At 36.6% G+C, this 16,378-nt stretch overlaps 1 long non-coding RNA gene across 1 annotated transcript; it reads right to left on the bottom strand.

Moving 5' to 3' along the window:
- Positions 1–11,600: 11,600 nt before the first annotated feature.
- On the bottom strand, positions 11,601–15,396 carry LOC105375267 (uncharacterized). Its single transcript, XR_927248.3, has 3 exons — positions 15,145–15,396; positions 12,673–12,781; positions 11,601–12,505 (listed from the first exon to the last, which is right to left on the bottom strand). It is a non-coding gene; the product is annotated as an uncharacterized LOC105375267 (long non-coding RNA).
- Positions 15,397–16,378: the final 982 nt, after the last annotated feature.

Genomic DNA, 16,378 nt, shown 5'->3' with positions numbered 1-16,378 from the left:
CCTTTTTATCTTGCAGGATCGAAATTTGTCTTTGCTCCTTCACCACTTCATTGCCAATAGGCACATCTTCCTTCTTTTTTTTTTTTTTTTTTGAGATGGAGTCTCACTCTGTCGCCCAGACTGGAGTGCAGTGGCACAATCTTCGCTCACTGCAACCTCCACCTCCCGTGTTCAAGCAATTCTGCCTCAGCCTCCCGAGTAGCTGGGAGTACAGGTGTGCACCACCATGCCCAGCTAATTTTAACATTTTTAGTAAAGATGGGTTTTCGCCATGTTGGCCAGGCTGATCTCAAACCCCTGACCTCAAGTGATTCACCTGCCTAGGCCTCCCGAAGTGCTGGGATTACAGGAATGAGCCACTGTGCCCTGCCTCCTTCTTATTTTATAAGAAGAGATAGGCATGAAAATGTTAACAATGATTGTTTCTGAGGGATGGGTTCTTATTATCATTTTTGCTTATTTTTATTTTAAAATTTGTCCACATGATCATGCTTTCATAATATAAAACCATTAGTAGTAATAACAATAATAATACCAGCTACTAGTTATTATTGGCTATTTTTACCTGATGTATCAAGCAAAATACTTTTTGTAAATGATTTTATATATTCTGTGCAGCAATACTTTTTGGTAAGCATTATAATTCTCTTTTGAGGTTTAGTTTACTTAGCTAGATGTCAATACTACAATTTGATATGTCATGAAACAAAACAAAATTTTGGTGGAAATTCTAGAAAACTTTATTGGTGAGAGGGTTTCTTCTCTTTCTACTTATTCTTCTCCTTTTCCTTCTCCTTACTATATCTTCATTGTGTGACTAATACTTACCTAGAGCTTACAATGGTCCAGGCACTTCACATTCATGATCCTTCATAATGCTCCCCAAAGCCATATAGAATCAATGCATCGCGATTAAATTTTTAGTCAAAAAATCGGTTTACAGGACTATTAGGTAGAGGATCTATATTTTGAGTGCAGATTTCCAGGTACTGCCGAGTATATTTGTAGTTATCATAAAAATTATGTGTTTATAAGTATTGTTATCCTTTCCCCTTCTTTGTCCATGTGCAAAAGAAGAGTCTTAGAGATATAATTTATCCAAGAATGCTCAGTCATACACAGATGGCAAGGATGTGAGCCCAAGTTACAGACGTTAAGAGCTCTTTCCCCGTACCACGGTTATAACTGTGCACAGTAGAAGAAGTGTATTATGTAAACTAATTTCTCAAACTGTTTTATGTTAAATGAGAGGCACTAGTGATCCTTGGCTGTACCTAATATTTTGTCTTATGACTTACAAACACTCTACTTAATTGACTGTGGATATGGTAAGTAATTTATCCACTCAATGAACCTCTTGGTCCCGTAAAACCAAATTATATTCAATTTTGGATAAGAAAATGTTTGATTAGGCTAAGTTTAACATTTCCTCTTCCTTAGTACATTCCACTCCTGGGTTGCTGTTACCACAGCATTAGAAAAAAAAAAACAAAAACCTTTCTAAGCAGTTCATTGGTCTGGGTCAAACCCTGTCCTCAGCCTCACACCTGGGTCATGGCTCACATTGAACCAAAATGCTGAAGTCTACTTTGAGCAAAGAATTATTTACCACTGTTTTGAGTCCCCCTCTCCCCCAATGGCCTGAACAAGACCAAATTATGTTTTCAAGATAATATAAATCTTTTCCCCCCTGTAAGATTGGTTAGGCACACACAATAGTTCTTTACTTTTTCTTTCGATGAAAGCATCACTGTCTTTTCTTTTAGGGAAACATTTTCCTATTGCCGCTCCAGAAAGGTAAATGTGAAAACATGGATGCAGAGAGATGTTGACTTTGCAGCCAGGCCTGAGATGGAGCCTTACTGTGAGGTTTGACCCAGCTCCAAACCAAGCTGCTGCAGTCCATGGTCTGCGTTACGGTTCCATGACTGTCTCCTGGTTACGCTCCGGGTATGTGGCTTCTTCCTGAGGAGCACTCAGCTAACTATTAAAACACTCCAAAAGGAACAGCCTAATTTCTTTGTGGTACTGAAGCGATATTTTAATCCTAAGTAAACAAGTATAAGGTTCAGTTATTGAATAATGGCCCAGCGATGTTATTACCTTGCCTCTCAAGCTCTTGAAACAATTCATACTTTCTCAGATCCTTTTAAAGTTACCAATGGCTTCTATAAATATAAATCAATCCAGAAATAGCTAGCTGGGTGAATTTGTCTCAACACTTTCCTTTTCCTTGCAAACTTTGGTCTAGAACTTAAAAAGATGGGAAAATATATAAACAGTTTTCTAAACAATTCTGCTATAATCTCAAATTTTGTTTAATACCTTAGAACTAAAGTGTAGCAATCTAATACGAGAGATTAAAACAGTCTTTTGTTCAGTACTATGATATTATCCAGGTAAGTCATTAAAAATCTAAAAGTAGCAGCACATAATACTGAGAATGCTTCAATCTTTGTTACTATGCATGAAAGACAAGGGGGACTAAAGTTATGAAAAACAGGGACAAATGATGCCGAATTTGAAATTAGAAGGCTTGTAGATTAAAACTAATAATGTAGCTGCCAGATTTTGTGAGGACCTTTTTTTTTCAAAAGGTAACATTTATCAAGCAACTAATAGGTGCCCACCCTTGTGCTAGTTTCCAAGGGAACTGAAAACAGAACATACTTTCTGCCTTTTGTGTGTTTAGTTTCCTGAGACCTTGTGAGGAATACACACTCTGCACACATATATTCTGACGCGCGTACCTACCTTAGCTTCGAGAGATGGTCCCTCATCCAAATGCATTTGTTTCCAAATGGAGGATCATTCATGAAGATATTTTATTGTGTTCTTAATGGACCTTTGAGAAGAATCCAGAGATTTATGTGGGCTTAACAACCTAGAGTTTCCTCTCTCAACATCCAAGACAAACATGTATCAAGGTCAAGGGTGTTGCCACTGAAATACCACCTTCAGCATATTAAAGCTTCAATTTCCAAAATCTGTTTAGGTTTTAGGAGGAAATTCAATGACATTTCTTCCTTCACACAAGATAAATTAAAAGTTTTTGACAAAAACATTTGTTTTGGTGACTCTAGTCAGAACAATATATTGCCAAACTTTAACAGGGCCCATTTTAAGAACATATTTTCTGACACTACAAAAACAAACAAGGCCAGCACTAACCGTGAAGAGGAGTTTCCTCATATCCCTCCTTTGGGAACAGCCTGAAGAAAGTGGGGAGTCCGATTACATTGGGGTCCTAAAGACTTAGTTCAGATGACGTGAAAAGTCTCAGAACTATGTTCCCCTTCAAGGATTTACAGGGTTAGCAAGCAGTGACCCCCTCTGAGTGTCTCCGGAAGAAATAATGTGTTTTCACTGACTGACTTTTTCGGACTCGGTATGCAAAACTGTGAAGAGATGAGAGACATGTCATCCAGAAAGCATGATTGATGACAGGAATTCTTATCAGAATGGAACAATTCATTCCTAATATTAGATCAAATTCCAGAGAAAGACACCTGTTGTTTGAAATTGTGCAGTGTACGTTTGTTCAGAAAATTCACTGACATGTTGTGAAAGTCTTTCATCTGTGTTCCCTGTGGGAAGTGTCCTTTCCAGGCCCAGTTCTCATTGGACTGATGAGTGAAGTCAACTCTATTTTGATTTCCCAATTCTTTTTGGTCCCAGAATGGACACTAACCCATAAGGAACGCAGATCCACTGACACCCGTTTCTTCTCTTCATCCCTAGGCTTGGTAAAACAGCTTTCTACTTTTGCAAGTCTCTGAAAGTTTCATCTTATCTTAACCTTGCCCATACCTCTACCAAGTAGATCCTTTAATCCTTTAATAAATTCCCCTCATTTGAACCTTTGGTGACCAGGTTTCTAGCTTTGGAGATGAAGGAACTATTGGTTGTAACAACCGAAATAAAGAATGTCTGAGAAAGTTCACGTTAAAGATTAAATGAAAAGTTTCCCTTTTAACACATTGAATTTTGGGGAACTTCAGAGCACTTACTTGCAGTTATTCAGAGCAATTTGTTCATAGGCTTCCCAAGGTCAGGAGGGAGGTCCATGAGAAAGATGTGCATTAGGGATTTATCATTCATATAGAAAGGAGGTGGGACAGAGTTGATTAATGAAATTGTCTAGGAAAGTGTAAAGAACAGGAGAAGCAATGGGCCAAGGGGCAGGAGCATTTGAATGACAGAGGAAGAAAGACAGTAACTCGTAGAATCAAGAGTTACAGTTAAGAGTTTCAACAAGGAAGGAGATGTCAGAACAAGAGCTGCAAAAGAGAGATGCACTGCGATGTGGTTGGATAACTGCTCACGGGATGTATCTTGGGGGAGACCGTAGGGTTATTTGCAGCCTCAGGGATTCCATTCTCAGTGGGGTAATAGGAACAGACACTGGACTTGGGCGCTGGGTGAGGCAAGTTGGACATGGAGTCATGGGATTGGTGAGTGTAGTCAGCTCTATGTCAGTTTCCACTATTCCAATCTTTCTACGTAAAGTTTGTGAGGTAGGATTCTCAGGATTCTATCTGTTTCCTGTGATTTTGGATTTACTCTGGTTTGTGTGACCATGGTCAGAGAGCCTGGAAGATGTTTTGTGAGCAGATCCATGAATATCCAGTGAAAACCTACTAGGTACTAGCCACTAAAAATGATGCTTTCCACTGCACTGTTACACCACTATATCAAAAGATTAATGTATACTACAATGCAACCCTCTCAGTTGTGCTTTCACAGGCTTTCTCCTAGAGATGACATGCATCTGGATAAATGATAATTCACATCTTTTTCCAGATGTTTCAAATGTCTGGATGGATCATGCCATGTGGACAAAAACCTATATAATTAACCTGAATGTTCATATTTCATCATGTGATCTTGTTACACTAAAGGTAAAACAATAAATGCTTCTAAATCTTGCCAAATGAATGCAATCATGTGCATCAGATAATTTTGATTAAGAAACAATAATAATTGTCCCTTAATGTACTATTTTAAAAGCCTCTCTCACTAAAATTTAGAAAACTTGTATCACATATGAAAAACTTTAAAATAGCTTTGTAAGTAGTTATCCACCAAAGTAATGTTAAAGATTCAATTTATGTTTAATAGTAAAAGTATGTGTGCTAATTCATTTTGCTACCTGTGAATCTGGCTTGAAGCTACATTTGTAGGTTAATAAATACACTTATTTGAAAATGATGCTTTAATTGAGTCATCTAATTAAATTTTCATAACATAAAAGTTGATGGTATTTGTTTCTATTTTATAAGCAGGAAACAGTCATTATATGGAAATGCCAGGATTGCAACTTAGGTCTAACTCCAGAACTTCATTTTCTTTCCATCACATCACACCGTGACCTTGATGACAAGTTTCACAAATTGTTCTCACTTTGCAGATGATGGATCTAGTGTGTGGTCTAACACATTTAGTGGCAGAGACAGGATTCTGGCTTGGAATGAGAATTCTAACTGTTGGCTCTTTGAGCTCCACTGCTTTGACTGTTTTCAGACAGCAAATAGTGCACTGTGCTTATACTTGAGGAGCTTATACTTGAGGAGCTTATACTTGAACTGTACTTGGAAGGTGGATTAACTTTGTTAAGCAGAAGTAACCTCTAGTTAGAACTATTTTTGACAGTGCAGCAATGGGCTTATAACTTAATAAAAATATTATGCAAACCCTATCAATTTTACTGCTTGTAAGTACTATCAACAGCTAACTAAATTCTTGAAACACATTAAGCTTTTAGTCATAAGAAAACACAGACTTTTAAACTCATAACTCAGGAAAGCATTAATGGCATTTTTATAGGAACAATACAGAAAATCATGGTACCTACTAAGTATCTGGGGGAAGGGAGAGATCACATAATGGTCTATATTCAAGAACACTGTCTTTAGTTTGATAACAGTTCAGTCCCTTATTTCCATTTGGTCAACATATGATTTCTATGTTACAGTATGATCAAACATTGCATCAAAGTATAAAAGTATAGTTTTCAAAAGTTAAAAAAGTTTTAGAGTGAGAAGAGTGAAAGGTGTCAAGATTCCATTCAAATAATAAATAAGAGAGTCACTAATTGAAAAAAAAAGATTTAATGAGCATTTTCAAGAACTGAATATTTATCACTTTGGAAAAAATTAGAGTAAGATTGATAGGTTAGATACAAACTTATTGATTTCCCACAAGATAGAAAAACCTTTAATGTTAAATTACATTCTTTGAGACCAGGAGTTCGAGACCAGCCTGGGCAGCATTGTGAAACCCCGTCTCTACAAAAATATAAGAATTAGCTCGGTGTGGTGGTGCATGCCTGTAGACCCAGCTGCTTGGGAGGCTGAGGTAGCAGGACCACTTGAGCCCAGGAGGTCAAGGCTACAGTGAACCAAGATTGTGCCACTACACTCCAGCCTTGGCAACAGAGTGAGACCCTGACTCAAAAAAAGAAATTATATTCTGTTCTAGGCAGAAATCTACAAATTGACTAGCTTTACAGTGTCTGAGTTCCAATCAAACAGGAAATAGCAAAGTTATGGCCAGCTACCATTTTCTGATCTCCAAGTTTTGGATGCTGCTTTCAAAGTCAAATCCTAAAACTATCTAATGATCTATTTAATAATTTTGAGTATAATTACAGGGCCTGAATATAATTAAATGAATGTTTATTTATGCAGCAAACATGCCACTAAAAAGACTGAAGTGATATGTCAAGTGTTTTAAATGTTGAAAATACTCACTTTTTATTATAAAACTGTTTCATATTTTTTAGGTCTTTAGACTAAGGCTAATATATATACGCATATATTTTAAAATTTGCCTTGAATAACCTTGACGATTTAAAGCAAAATATGTTTCCGATGGAAAAGTACCGTGATTTTCCATATATATAGAATTAAAAGCAATAATAGTAATGTGATTCTTTCATTCTTGTCTCTGCAACTGAATATCTTAAACTGAAGCATATGAGCTACTCATTAAGGGTGTGCCGATGGATTTCTGAGTGTTTATCTATTCATGTGCAGTTGCAGTTATTTTCACATACATGTATAAAATTTAAATAAAAGATATAATTTAAATAAAAATATAAAATATTTTAAAAATAAGTGTTATTTTCAGAATAAAACTCAGAGATGAACAAAAATCTTAAAATTGTTGAAGGAGTAAAAGGATTGAGGTAACTCTTAAAATAACTGTTAGCTGTTTTTATCTAAGTCAATATAGCTCAAATCTCCTCAGCTGTAATTCCTTGTGAAGAAAAGAAAGAAATAAAGAAATATATAAAAAAGAAAGGAAGGAAGGAAGAAAAGAGAGAAAGAAAAAGAGAAAAAGGAAGAAAGGAAGAAAGAAAAGGAAAGAAAAGGAAAATAAAGAAAAAAGAAAGAAAAGAAAAAAAGAAACAACAGCATCCTTTTCTTCATGGGTACTTTAGAATAAACTGAGCTTTGAAAACTTATCTTGTTATCTCAGAGTTAAGGAAAACATGAGTCTGTTAATGGAAGAGAAAATAAAGGATTTTAAAAGTAGGAGGAAGACAGAAACAGTTTTTGGATGTGTATCATTTGCCATTGAGTCCAGCTGATGAAGATCCACATATAATGGCTGCAAAGTTTGGTCTTGGTAGTTTGACACCCTGTCATGGTACCTACGATGAACATAAATTTTCTCTTCATTTCACATGTTAGAATTTCTGAACTAAAATAACTTGAGTACTATACTTGATAGCTTCTGGCCACATCAAAGTTTATTTGCCATTGATATTCCAAATTTGCATTCAGTATTTCCACACATTTGGTGTGAACTGCCTGGATCAGACTGGGATCATAGGCCCCTCATTTCCCACCAGGCTGTGACTGGTGGTCTTGAGCTGGTCAGCCAAGCACTGGAGACCGTGAGCTCGTCCCTGACACTGGGCACACACCTCCCACCCCTTTCTCGGTGTGCTGGGCTAGCTGAGATGTTTGTCTTGTTTATTCTACCAGGTGTCTTTATATTAGCTTGCTGCTTTTTGAGGATGACTTCCAAATGACAATTTAACTGTTTTCCACAGAATAAAGTATCTGTGAAATGGTTTTCATGTTAAAACCTGCTGTCTGTTGAAAAGTAGATTTAACCCAGGCTCTACACTATGCAGGAAACCAGAGAATGGAGCTCAGGTCAATCTATTTCCAGACACCACTAGAGGATGCAGAGAAGGGAAAAAGACCTCAGCCCCTAACCCCATTTCCATGTTATTGCACTTAATAAATCAGGGTGATCTTAATAAGTAAATGACTGGACTAAATACAATGTTGTACTTTTACAACTGATTCTTTAGAGCCAAGATGTTCAATACAGTAATCACTGACCACATGTGCCTATTTAAATTGAGTTAATTTAAAGTAAATCAAACTAAAGTCCAGTTTCTCAGTTACTCTAACCCCATTCCAGTGCTCAATAGCCCCAGGTGGCCAGGATTAGGCAAGGCGGGGATGGAGCCTTTTCATTATTCTGGAAAGTTATCTTAGTATTCTCTAGAGTTGTTTAGGTGTAAGAAGATCCACTGGGTTAAAGAATCATGCAGTTGCAGCCATAAAAATGAATGAAATCATGTCCTTTGCAGGGACATGGATGAAGCTGGAAACCATCATCCTCAGCAACCTAACAAAGGAATAGAAAACCAAACACCGCATGTTCTCACTCATAAGTGGGAGTTGAACAATGAGAACACATGGACACAGGGAGGGGAACATCACACACCAGGGCCTGTCGGGGGGCGGGGGGCAAGGGGAGGGAGAGAGCATTAGGACAAATACCACCTAATGCATGCGGGGCTTAAAACCTAGATGATGGGTTGATGGGTGCAGCAAACCACCATGGAACATGTATACCTATGTAACAAACCTGCACGTTCTGCACCTGTATCCTGGAACTTAAAGTAAAATAAATAAATAAATAAATAAATAAAAATAAACAAAGTTGAAAGATGGGGCAAAAAAAAAAAGAATCATGCAGTTGGTAATTAAAAATACATATTTTACGTACAGACCTATTCTAACATGTTTTACTTACAACTTAATTTGCTTTCTCAATTGAGCTCCTTAGAAAATCTCCCAAATAGAAATTTGCACAGACAATATTTTCTGAATCTGCTCCTGACATTGTAATATCAGTGGAGACTGAAATTAGTCAAGTTTAATCTGAGAGTTAATCTGTATGTGATTTACTAAGTGAAAATCAAAATTGAACAGACTGGGAACACTGTGAAGGCTTCATCAGGGTATTTTGGAATCTCTTTGTTCTAGAGGAGACATGACCTGTGCCCGATTTTTCTCCTACCTGGCCTGTTTTTGATGGCCAGTGGCCATATACATATTGTCACGTAGGACCATGACTTGGGACAACAGCCAAGCTGCCTCAAATAATTACCATGCTTGGATTAAGTTCATCTTGTAGATCCAATATCTGAGTTTTAGCATAAAGACAATAAGTGGAGAACCCCACCAGCTGTTGAGCAAACTCCAATTAAAAAACTTCCTATGAGTTTGTAGACAATCTTTACTATTTGGCATTAGAATCTCTACTATAAAGAATTAGAATTTTATTGAAAGAAAGGAGTTCATTAGTTATTTGAATTTTTAGTTTCAGTAACAAGTGAAAGACACCCTGTTGAATTTGGTTGTTGCAGAACACTGAAAAAATATGACTTTTGATTTTAACGAATATTAGACATGATATAACTCTTTCTTTAATGCGCAAGAGGTCACTATCTTGAAGACCAAGTCTTATTGCCAGCTGAGCATTCACTTTGCAAATTAACGTTTAAATGTCTCTTTCTTTTGTACAAAATCTTGGGAAAAGCTTACAATATCTAAAAGATGTTAGACACCAATGTCTAAAAGAAAACGTTTTGGTGAAGACTGCAGAAACAAAAATTTGTATTAGTGTATTAGTGTGTTGGCCTCAATATCAGTGCTAGGCCATATCAAGGAAGTTATTTCTGTTATGCAACTTGTGTTTGTATACACATCTACACATATACATATCTATATTTTTTCTTATTGTTATGTGGTATGTTCTCTTGGGAGCAGGGCATTTCTACCAAAAGGAAAGTTCACTTATGTATTTTGAATTTACTTTTTTTGTTTTTAGACAGAATCTTGCTCTGTTGCCCAGGCTGGAGCACAGCGGTGCAATCTCGGCTCACTGCAACCTCCGCCTCCTGGGTTCCAGTGATTCTTGTGCCTCAGCCTCCCGAGTAGCTGGGACTACAGGTGCACACCACCAAGCCTGCGTAATTTTTGTATTTTTAGTAGAGATGGGTTGCACCGTGTTGCCCAGGCTGGTTTTGAACTCCTGGCCTCAAGCGATCCACCCATCTAGGCCTCCCAAGTGCTGGAATTACAGGCGTGAGCCAACGTGCCAGGCCAGAATTTATATCTTTGCTTGTGTAAATCATGTAAATGGTTTCTAACCCTTGCTTGGTCTCTACCTTTTTAGGCAATGATGAAAGCTTCCCAGAACCATGTCATATCCCAGAAAACCTTAAATACACTTTCAGGAGACTCTTGAATCTTATGGAGACATGTTAGTGAGTCTATGGGCCCCAGGACAAGAAGTCCTTAAACCTAAACACTCAACACACTTTTTTTTTTTTTAAAAGGCTTGTGCTTTTCTGACATTTAATAAACCTAAATTCAACATGATGGTGGCGAAGTCATAAAATACTTTGCCACCATGCTAAGTGTTCTTAAAATAAGACACATTCTTCTAATGTCACATTGAGAAATAGAGAACTAACATCATCATATATTGGCTACTGCATAGTAAATAACAAAATGTTGTAGAGCGTTAAATAAAAATCATCACAGTAAAAATATGCTTCTGTGCTTTTTTTGCCTTGTCCTGAAACAAAATTATTAATTAGTAAAAATTTGAGTTTTTAAAATCTATCTGGCTTTTCAAATTTTAACATTAATATAATGTAATATAAATTGATGTATTTTATATTACATTGTGAGTTAAACATTTCTAAGTATTTGGCCATGTTATGAAATAGTAAATAGTAATATAGCATGTATAAAATGAAATAGTCACATTTTCTCTTTTGAAAATTTCAAATTTTCATAACCTTTTTGTTCAAGTAGGTTTTGTACTTAAAATATATATATATTTAAGTACAAATATATATATATATTTAGGTACAAATATAAGTGTTTTTGGTAAAGTCAGGATTTCACCATGTTAGCCAGGCCAGTCTAGAACGTCTGGCCTCAAGTGATCCACCCACCTCGGCCTCCCAAATTGCTGGGATTACAGGTGTGAGCTATTGCACCAGGCCAGAATATTTAGATTAAAAAAATTTTTTTAGTACTTAAGTTTTCTTGAATATCATAAAGAACTTTGTTATAATTTTTAGAGTATTCATGGAATGATACCTTCTAGTATTATTTGCCATATATAAATATTAAATTATTTCACAAACAGTTTGAGTTAATTAATAACTTCTTATGTTTTTTAGAGTATATTCTTCAGAACACCAGTTCCTTAAAATGCTCCAAGTAAAACAGGTTCCACAATCTAAATAAGTTGAGAAATTCTGTACACTATTTCTCTTTTCAAGATTTATTGTGTACTTTCATAAATTGGGGGCTCTGAAGAGTCTTAAGGAAGCAAACCTGTTAAATCTATTACAGTGTTTTCCAAATTGTTTGCACAATGAAACACATAATAATAGCAAAATAACTATTTAGAAATAGCATGCTCGAAACTTATTCTAAAGGGCATAGACTTATAAGTTGAATTCCTTTTTGCCGTTTTCTTTGTAATTCAGGTTGTTTGTGTGGATTTTTGAAAATAGCACTGAAGTAGGTGTCACCAAAACTGAATTACATTATGTTCTGCTGCCAAGAGGCAGTTTGATTTGAAGTTATCCAATCCCTATGAGTCTCAATGCACTCACTTATACAACAAGTATATTATAAAATACTCTGGAATTCTTTTCTAAATCTCTGTTTTGTTATTCCTTAATGTATATTTTATCCTGCTTTTCAAAGACATGGGCTTTTTCAAATTTCCTGCATCTCAGTTATTATTATAAGGCAGGGAGGGCACAATGTTTATTCAATGTAAATAAAAGGCTCCTAAAAGTATGTGAAAGAAACAGAAATCAGTTTCAGAATTTTTTGTTCTGCTTATTAAAAATAATACCTACATTAGTGTTACAGCTCTTTTAGAATTTGCTTAGTGGTCTTTCTGTTTTTTTTTTTTTTTTTGCTGGAAAGCCTCTAAAAATAAAAAATTGTATATATATATATATATATATATATATATATAAAACCTACATAATCATGGCTTTCAACAAAAGATATAGATTGGTTTTTCTCTTATATGATAAGTAATGTGGAGACAACTCATCCAGGGCTGAATCACAAGGCCAAAGTCTCCACAATTCCATCAGCTTTTCCCTCATGTTGGCATGATGGCTGCTGCAGCTCCAGCCATAATATCCACCCTTCCAACAAGAAGAAAAAAGTGTTAGTGAAAAGCAGGGGATGCCTACAGGAAGAAAGCGATAATTTCTCAATTATCCTGAGCAGTCTTAGTTTTGCTGTCTCATTCAGCATGTAAAGAGTATCTAGCACACTGTAAAAACTCAGAAATATTTGTTGAATGACTCACGCTCATAGGCCAGCTCTTTCTTCCATGAGTATGCTCAGACGTTACCAGGTTCAGAAATGTAGATTTCTTTCTCCTTAATCTAGGCCAGTTGATGAGTGAAATCCTGGTCCTATTGGTAAAGAAGGGAGCATTGTAGTCAATAGCAGTGTCTGCCACAAACTGTAGTTTTTTTCTGAGGACTGTGCTAATACAAACTACTTTTTCAAACAAACCGAAACATCTATGGTGAAAAAGGGCCACAGATACTGACTCAGCCTCTTTGAGCAGTGTAGAAAGTTTTCTTCACCAATGTCCCTTGTTAACTGCCAAATCGCCTTCCTTTTTAAAAGTAATCATAAATGACTGCAGGTAATATTAATATGACTTCAAACACCCTATGAAAGCATAGTGTAAACCTCAGTGTGTAAAAATGTCCCAAACTTAGAACAAGATCTGTGAATGGAAAATATCAAATAGACTTTACTGCATAAGTAGACCAGTAAAATTTCATTATAAAAAGATGACAACAGGTATCCACATTATAATTGAAAATAGTGGTAAAAACAAAAATATCTCATAGTTACAGAAAATGGGATTTGGGAATGAAAGAAAACTCACACTAAAAATCTCTCTAACAAAGGAGTAAGTCATATCCACTGATAGTAGCAGAAAGTGGTCTGAAATGCTACAGGCCTTAACTAATGAATTATATTTTACAATAACTTATGGTCAGCCAAGCATTTTTTACATATGCATCTCATTGCATTTAATCTTCCCAACCACCTACAGAAGAATGGCTGTAATCAGCCCATTTTGCACATGGTAGAAACTGAGGAAATGGGACAACTTGTCTGAAGTCAAGTGTGTTCAAACAACTCTCTGTGATTCCAAAATAGATACAGAATAATACTGATAAAAAGGCTGTAGTCTTTTTCAGTTCAACTTAATACTAAAATGATGTTCATTTGCTCCCATCATTGGACAGTTCCTCCAAAATATTTTTTCTTTCCTTCAAACTTACCTAGAATTTCCCTGGCTCCACTTTTTTGGCTAAGCATTGGTTTTGGCTTGGGTCACAAGGTATAACCATACTCAGACTGTCCACATGGAGAACCTGGTTTGGATGGCTCTGCCAGTCGTGCCTCTCCTGGGTTTGAACATAACAAGAAGGAGTGGACCCAGGATATCACACAGTTACCCAGTTTTAAATCTGTGTCCTCTTTACTACATCCTTCTCTTGCCCCAGTGTAATATTTCAGCAATCTTGTTCAGGCTATTTGTTAACAGGATTAATGTAGACAGTGATTCCTAGGACATGCTATCTAAAATATTATGCAAATGTTTCCAATTCTGAATTCATAGCATAAATAAAAAATTATCCAATTAATTTAATTTATGCCTCCAAAATTTATTAGAAATCTATTTTACTGCAGGCACCTGGTCAACTTCTGACATCCCAAAGATGAATAACACCCATCCCTTCCCTTGAGGAATTTTATATTCCATCCATATAAAAATTGCACTGTTTCTGGTTGATGGTTTCTGGTATTTTTCTGGAAGTTATTATTAATATTTCCTCTTTTCCTCTTGCTGAGAATTTTTATTTCTTAGTTTGCTGATAAATATGTATTGCTTGTCTGAATATTTGCGGCCACTAAATTCCTTCAGTAGACCCTGGAAAACACTGAGCAAATAATACACAGCAGGAAAACCACAAAGTGGGCAGTGCATGGGGCATTCCCCAGAGTAGAGCCTCTTGAATTATTCAGAAGAGCAATTTCTTGTGAGTGCTATTGGAGAGATGTAGTAGAGTTACCATATTAAAGTCTATATTCCTAATTTTGTAGATTAAAATTTGACACAAGAATAAGTAAAGTTTGAAGTGAAACCTCACAAAATACAATTCACTGTGAAACATTAAGCAGAATTGCCTAGAAGTGTTCAATTAGACTAAATTTAGTTGATTCGATAATTAGACAGCTAGAAGGAGGAGCTGTTTGAGCAGGATTGGGTGTCTTACTTGGAGGGCTGCAATAAAGCTCAGCTTCCCTGGAAGTAAGCTTTTTTCCTTCTTGTGATAGCGAGGTAGGGCGTGGGAGTTAACTCCAGATGGGCCCTGGACACGAGACCAAATTGAGGACTAGATAAAACAAGGCTGGGGCAGAAGCACCTTTCCATAAGACATGCGCACGAGTGTGCCATGTCACTTTACCATTACCACAGCAACACCCAGAAGTTACCACCCTTTCCCTAGAAATTTCTACATAAATCATCCCTTAATTTGCATGTAATTAAAAGTGGGTATAAATATGACTGCTGTACTCTCTGTGAGCTGCTATTCTGGGCACCCTGCCTAGCGGGTAGCCCTGCTTTGTAAAGAGCAGTACCGCTGCTGCTCCTGTACACTGCCGCTTCAATAAAAGTTTCTGTTTAACACCACTCACTAGCCCTTGAATTGTTTCCTGGGGGAAGTCAAGAACTTTGGGGTCTTACCGGTCCTGCATCATCAGGGGAACTGTAATTTCCCGTGAATCCCAAAGTTCTCAGGGTTGGGCCGTTGTTTTTTTCCAGATGAGTCCTGTGGCTAGCTGGCACCCCAAATGCAGATTGCATGGCACCAAGCAGAGCCTTAATATCACTATTGTCAAAACTGTCTAGTCGAGCTTGCACTATAGAAAGGGAGACTGTGAGGAGGTCAAGTAGATGTTTCTTTCATTCAGGAAGCATTGCCAGTCACCGAAGAGTGAGTTAGTTTCTCTACCAGGAAGCTGTTATATTTTCTGTTGTTTTATGACTTTAGCACATATCACAGTGTATTTTAATTACGATTTCACTTTTTGGCCTCCTCCCCATTTTGTTAAGTTGCACAAGGGCAGGGCTTGTGGTTAGGTAAGCATTGACTCCCAGATTCCTGGCAGTGTTTGTCATGTGAAAAATGCTCTATTAAGTTTTAATCAATTATAAATGCAATGCACCACGGCATTTAAGGGTGTGGGTTCTGCAATACAACTAACTGCCTCTTGCGTGCTGAGTAACCTTAGGCATGGTTAACCTCTTGGTACATCAGGCCCCTCATCTGCGAAATAAGTACAGTAATAGAAATGATCTCGTGATGTTGTGAGATGAATAAGTTAGTAGGAAGAATGACTTAAAGAAAATACAGTGTGTAGTTCAAGCTAATGTATGAGAGACAGCCTTAAGATGAAAGCAACATACAAATGAGGAAACCAGAGAAAAATGGAGCCACAACCAATAGATCAAGAAGTTGAAGCTTGGACTATCTTGAAACTTCCAATTCTATAAGACATTTCCTTTCCAGCTGTTAAGTCGATTTTCTTTTAATTTTCTATTAAGTTGAAAGAATTCTGACTTAATAGTCACACTTGTTAATATTTTCAATCTCACAGTTAAGAAATTAAAGTTCCTATAATTTAATTAGCATTTCTCTGCTAAATTAGCGAGACTGAAATCTCCACGTTGCTCATTTTTGTTCTGTCTTGGGTAAATTTTTAGAGCTTTAAACCCTTAAGAGCTTAAGCTTCAGTCTACAAGTCTGAAGCTTAGTTTTAAACTATTTATGGTATAACGTGTTGTGCTCTTTTAATGAGACTTTTTCCCTTATTATTGCTTCTGGGGTCTCATTTAAGAATTCTGGCTCTTACTTTATGAAGATATTCTTCAAAGACTTTAAAAGTGTTTTCTCTTGATATTTAGTCTTCTGTAACAC

Source organism: Homo sapiens, chromosome 7 (assembly GCF_000001405.40).
Source record: "Homo sapiens chromosome 7, GRCh38.p14 Primary Assembly".
NCBI lineage: Eukaryota > Metazoa > Chordata > Mammalia > Primates > Hominidae > Homo > Homo sapiens.
This window is presented reverse-complemented; position numbering and strand designations above follow the sequence as displayed.